The sequence below is a fragment of the Homo sapiens genome, chromosome 16 (assembly GCF_000001405.40).
Source record: "Homo sapiens chromosome 16, GRCh38.p14 Primary Assembly".
NCBI classification, from domain to species: Eukaryota; Metazoa; Chordata; class Mammalia; order Primates; family Hominidae; genus Homo; species Homo sapiens.
In genome coordinates this window covers 49,155,688-49,162,409 of record NC_000016.10, presented here as the reverse complement: position 1 = coordinate 49,162,409, position 6,722 = coordinate 49,155,688, and the positions used below count along the sequence as shown (strand labels likewise).

Here is a 6,722-nt window from a genome sequence, read left to right as displayed (position 1 = left end):
TTCCATAACAACACAGCTTTATGCCTCCAGTGGGGCAGGAAATCAGCCAGGAGATTAACAGATGTTTTATTTATATGCAGATTTTTCAGTGTCCAGGAATGGGGAAGGCTTCTATCAGGTGTATTTTCCTAGGTCATTGATGGAAGATGAATTCAACAAACTGATAAGCCTTTGGAAATCTTTTCACCAGTTAATTCTCAAACTCTTTTGCCAGTAATTTAAAAAACATATAGAGAGACTTGTACCATCAAAACAAGACATACTTCACTGAAATGGAACTCTTTGGAAGACTTCCTTGGTGCCTCAGTAATGTTCTGCCCCCTTCTCTGAGCTCTTTCTTTTATCCCTTTTCTTTGGAGGTTTTCATTTAGTGATCACAGAGGATATTCAGATGTGCATAATCAATTTAATATGTTCCCTAAAGAGGATGCCATCTCCATACACACATGCATGACTGTTGCCAATTGCAGGAGAAAAAGTGTAGAATTTTGTAAAGCAGGTATGGAAATAACAACTAAAAAGGCTGAAACTGAGCTAGATTTTCATCCTTTGGGTAGGTTGTATGGTCAGAAAAATTTTTCCCTAATACCTTGAGATTGTAGATTCCAGTGTGCTCCTAGGATAGCAACAGAAAATAGGATTCAGATAGGAAAAGATAGGAAAAAGATCTAGACTCAATGTCCATCAAGAGTCAACCTAACATTTCCCTAAGGCAGCATTATGGCGACCTGGAGGTTTTGAAGTTGTTTCCACAGATGCTATTTACCTTGCATATGGCTAAAGACTCTTTTAAAATTACAAAGGGAATTTTTTTAAAGAGGGAAAAAATATGCTTCAGCAACAATTACAAAAACCAGAACTTTATCTCACTGAGTTTTATAGATTCTAGTTGCAGGTGGTGAGCTCACAGATGGCAGAAAGTAAAGTCACTAGCTGAGGAGAAGAGCCTGCCTGGTGCCAGAGAACCACACAGTCATATTAAAAGAAACAAAAACAAAGACTCACACCAAGCCAGGTGTCCCAGGTACTAAGAACGAAAGTCAAGTTAGGAATAGGTTCAACTGTTGACTTCCTCGCAGAGCAAGGCCTCAGAGAGGAAGAAGAATTTTAATGGGCCCCAGCAATATGATGGACCTCAATTGTTCTTAAGGCTCACTTCTGTTTTGTAATTTACCTCTGGCACCAATTTGCATAACATAAGCTTTCTCCAGAGATTTGGGGCAGGTCATATAGATAAACATAAAACATTTTTGGAAAAACAAAACCAAAACCAAATGAAACGAGGAGTGTTGCTCTCCCTTCATTTCTAGGTCTTTTTTTTTTTTTTATGACATCCTTCCTGGGTTACTTTGTATGTGATTAGACCAATTATTATTAGAAATAATGATTTAGTAATTCATGTAAATTGTAAAATTAACCAATATCTTCATTTTTCCAAATAATACATTTTTCCTAATAACTATTTATTGGAAATTTGTTTGGTATCATGTGTCCTAATATGAATATAAATGAGATTTGATTTTTGTCCTGAAAGAGTTTGGTGTGTATTAGTATGGAGGTAAAATTAAAGTGAATAAGCAGCTCAAAAAGTAGAATGCAATAAATGCCATAATTTTTTTTTTTTTTTTGAGATGAAGTCTCACTCTGTCACCCAGGCTGGAGTGCAGTGGTGTGCTCTCAGCTCACTGCAACCTCCACCTCCTGGGTTCAAGCAATTCTGCTTCAGCCTCCCGAATAGCTGGGATTACAGGCATGCACCACCACACCCAGCATTTGTACAATACAAAAATACATTTGTATTTTTAGTAGAGACAGGGTTTCACCATGTTGACCAAGCTGGTCTCGAACTCTTGACCTCAGGTGATTCACCTCCCAAAGTGCTGGGATTACAGGCGTGAGCTACCGCGCCTGGCCCATAAGGTGTTTTAATAAGTGGCTTTTTAAAACCAACTTAACTTTTAAGCATAATGTCTGCTAAGCAATAAATCCTCTCTTGCTCAATTAATAAATTAATAAGTGAATATGTAACGAGTCACTTAAATGAGCTTCTGTGGGAATTAAAAGGAAGTAGAAATTATTTTTCTGGGGAAGACATCAAGAAGAATGACATGGAGGAATTGCCATTTGAGCCTCAACAGTTGAGATTTGAGTATCTAGAGTTGAAAGGAAGGGTTTTCCAGGACAAGGGAACATGAGCACACACTCGACAGTGAGATAATGAGAGATGTGCTTGGCCATGTGTAAGCTGTCCAGTTCTGCTGAGCAACTATCACAATATACACCGAAATACATTGGAACAAAAATAAAACGAAATAAGCCAAGCACTTGCTGCCCTGGCAAAATTAGCAAAATGTGGGACACAGCCCCACTGGAGAATGGTTTGTCATTTGAAGCAGGCCAAGTCCTGAAAACATCAAAATCAGCCAAAATGACATTAAAAGATGGAGAAGTGATCTAAATTCTCTGGACCTCAGTTTCTGCATCCATAAAACAGGGTTAATTGTACCTATAATGCAAGGTTGTTTTACAGATTATGTGAAGTCTGATCTATAAATTAACTGGCATATGATAGAAATTTGATACTTATTATTTTTGTTAGTAATATAAAAAATAATAGGCATTATCTAGCCATGTGTGGCCAAACATCATGATATAAGCACCATTTATTTGAATTATACTGAGCTTATATAATTATAGACAATAGGGCAACTTACCTGTTAAGTTCAATCTCTATTTTGTGATTTACTTCATGCATTGATCTGCTCAGCTGCATCTGGTTAGAAATGTAAAACACTGCCATCACCAGAGATTTAGTGCATTTCATGTAGGTGAACATAAAACCAAATGTTTTCAAAGCAAGCAAAGAAGAAAATAGTAAGGTAGAACAGTGTGTTAGTGAAGGAGCCACACATTTTGGAGACAAATCTAAGTCCAAATCCCTGTTCAGCTTCTTGCTATCTCTGTGACCTTAGGTAAGTTACTAAACCTCTCTAAACCTTAATTTCTTCATTGTAAAGGAAGTGTGATGATGATGATAATAAGAATAACAGCAATAAGAAACAACAACAAATAACAACACAACAGTAGTCATCATATCTACTTTATAGAGTCATCAATTAAAGCACAGTGTCTAGGACATAGTACTATTATGATTTATTGCAATCTTATTTCCCTTATATATTCTTCATAGTTCCAATGTCAGGTGACCAGAACTTATGGGAAAGATGAATTTTCATGTGAGAAGAGAATGTTTGATTTGCAGTTGGAAAATCTAAACTCTGATTCTAGCTCTGCCACCAGCTCATTTTTATGACCTTGATAGAGAAAAGATCCCCATTTAACCTCAGTTTCTTCATTTGTTTAATGTAGAAGTTAGACTAGTTATCTTCAAGGCCTGTCATTTTAGGATTCTATTCACCTACTATATGAAATTTCCCACAAAATTGAGTCTCTGTATATATTGCAGAAGACAAGACCAACCAAAACCAATGCACAATTTAACGGATTTTTTTCACTCAAAGAATCACAAAACTACACAAATAGATAAAAGCAAGCCAAATTTCTGCTTAATGCAGGCTGCCATAGAGGAATCCATTCTTCTTCTTCCTTTAACTCTATTTTTATCTTCATTCTGGATAAACTTTGTGTCGTGTAGGGTAAAATTTAGTGAAAAAAAAATCTTAATCTACCTAGATTTTTCCCAATGTGAGTAGAGACTATTCAGGTTGTTTATGGGGGGTTTTGATTTGTTAATGAGGCCAGTACTTTTGAGTAGACTCAGAATAACTGTTTAAAGCACCTCTAGTTCTCAGGATTGAAAGACATCCCAGAGACATTTGAAAATTCCTGGATATTATTTATAGAGACAATTTGGAGAACATGTTTTTATAATGGCCCTGCAGAGTTAAGGGGTGGGTATTTTGGCTTCCCTAGGCACCAGAGAATGCACAGCACCTGTTTTTTCCAGAAACCAAATAGCAGAGACATATTCTGTCTGGTTTTCTTGGTGCATTTTGGAATGAAGCCTGGAACCTGTGGTGTGCCACATACCTTAGCCACTTTGATCCTCAAACAAAGATCTATGGAAAGCCAAGGCTGCACATAGGCAAAGGAAACCATATATGTGCCGCTTCTAAACAGAACCCTGGACAGTGCACAACAGCAGTTGCCTAATCAGCACCATGGACAGCTCACACAAACACCTTTCTCTTCTTCACCCCCAGTCATCCTTGGCTTCTAATGGCTGTCCAGGACCCAAACTAGAGTAGAGCAGCAGAGCACGGAGGGCACACCCTGAGAGTGAGTGCCTCCTTACATTTTGTGCCCTGGGTGCCTTGTTTGGCTCATCCTAGTTTTACCCTGCAGTGGTTTATTGTTCATTTGTCCATTCAGCAAACATGTTGGCCAGCTAATAAAACTTTTCTTTCACGGGGATTTGTTTCTTAAAGGATCTCCAAGTCAATATGACTGAAATAATTTTGCAGAGGTGGAAGTGTTTCAAGAAATAATTTTAGGACGTGAGCAGGAAATACAACATGACTGTACTAGTAGAACACATTTAAAGGAATAAAGTTTTTTAAAAGTCCATGGCAATTAAAGCTCCATGACTAGGGGTACATGTTTGTGTTGTTTGCCACTGTAAACATAGCACCTAGCAAGAAAATAGGCAGGTACTCAGTACTTATTTGTTAAAAGAAGAGATAATTATATGATATGTGTGATAGTGAACCACTGGATTTTGGAAAGTGTAGTAGCTTGTTCCTTTTTGCATTTTATAAGCATCATTGTGGCAGTGCTTTGGAAGACAGATTAGAGGGGAAGGAAACTAATGACAGGAAGACCAGTTAAAAGATGATTGCAGTGGTTGAAGTGAAAAATGAAAAATTTCAAACCCAAAATAGATGTGAGCAACAGTGTATGTGAAAAGGAAAAATATAGAATTAACAGGAATTTAGGAAGAGATGTAGATTTGTGGAAAAGAGGGTTCTCTCTGGGATAGCTTTGTGTTTGAAGTGGCTGTGAAGTATTACAGTGATGGTAAGCAGGGGACAATTGTCCTGGTGGCCATCCAGAAGTGTGGTTGGTGAACATAGATATGTTTCTAGCAACATATCTGTGGAGAGATATTTTTCTAGAAACATTCTGGAGTTATGGGCTCCATGGAGTCATTTACTTCCTCTCATAAGACAGCTAGCTGGGGCTTGAGGTGTGGAGAGAGGCAAATGAGAAAGAATCACAAAACTAGGATATCTAAATATCAAGTAAATTATATCTTGACAGATAGACTTGTTTTCTCAGTCACAGAATGAAAATATTGGTTCAGGTTATCTTTTTGTTCATTCCAAATTTTATGTTACCTGGCTATTCTAACTCCAAATTTAGAAGTCTAACACCTACAGAGGCAAAGTAAATTTTTCTAAGTTAGCAAAGTTGGCCAGGAAGAGGCTGTGGAAATTTGAAGAGTTATGTGCCACTTAAGGTGGTCACCTACTCCTTGTCTCCAGGTAACCATTGCCACGTGAAGCTCTAGACATTAGAAAATATTTGGAGGTAAATGAGGATGGCATGTTGAGTCCTCTTGGCCTAGTTCTTAGTTCATTTCTGGAGGAGAGATCCACGTGAGCTCTAAGTCATCTTGTGATGACAACATCCCATCTTTCTGCCTCAAAGTCTTCCCGAAAGTTGTGGAACGTACTGATTTGCATACAAGTGAAATCTAGAAATGTGGGCAAGTTAGCACCCTGGGGGGCCACTCCCAGCCAACCAGGATGGGAGCTCATGAACAAATGCTCTGACCTCTTATCTTTCTGGGAGTTAATTCTAGAAGTCACTCCTTATGCGTTCTAGAGGTTAGAGTAGAACTGAGCCCTCATTGCCTTTAGCAGAAATTTGATAATTCACCCTTCTATTGTGAAATGTAGAAAGTCTCCATGACAATTTTAAAAGGACTCTTGTTTTTTATGGCTACAGATGGAATGCACAACCTCAACTGATGCCCTGTGCTAAAGTCAGGACCATGTTAGGGAGGGAGTGGGTCCCTGAGACATGGACTCAAGACATTTGGGTAGATGTCTATAAAACTTGAACCCCCAGATTTTCCTGGGCCCTCTTAGGTAGTAGATGCAGCCTCTTTCTCTTAGTAGAGGAGAATAGCCTCCTCTCTCCAAAAGTCCTTTCCTGGGGTGGGTGTTTCTCCAAATGATGCTTCCTTCCAAAATATCCACCTCTGCCTCCCCTCATTGCTTTCATACTAATAACTAGACCAATAACAGTCTTAAGCATAGGTAAAGTGAGTAAATATAATCCCATTACAGAGAAAAAAACTTATTCACTAAAAGAGTGTGTGACCTAGGTATTGGTGCCAGCAGAAACCCAAAAAATGTGCAGAAGAGAAGACGCTGATGGAGGTGAATCAGGTAAGACAGAACACAAAGATGTGTAAGGGTGGGTTTACTGACATGAAAGCACACTCTTGTAATCTAGAATTTAGCAGCCTGGTAAAAATACCAGGAGCTCGTCCTATTAAGCTATATATATATATATGTAGAGAGAGAGAGAGAGAGAGAGAGAGAGAGAGAGAGAGAGAGAGAGAGACTTGAAATAGATTAAAGACTTAAACATAAGGCCCAAACTAAAATTCTTAGTTTCAAGTGGGATAACTTGCCCACATATATATATATATAGCTTATATATATACACACATATATATATATATATATACA

At 38.1% G+C, this 6,722-nt stretch overlaps 1 annotated feature.

Annotated features, from left to right (window-relative positions):
- Positions 4,038–4,332: a silencer, noted in NCBI's record as "tiled region #1667; HepG2 Repressive non-DNase unmatched - State 10:DNaseD, and K562 Repressive non-DNase unmatched - State 10:DNaseD". NCBI's record gives its function as "represses a minimal TATA promoter and a strong SV40 promoter by Sharpr-MPRA in HepG2 and K562 cells {active_cell/tissue: HepG2 | K562}" and the evidence as "EXISTENCE:reporter gene assay evidence [ECO:0000049][PMID:27701403]".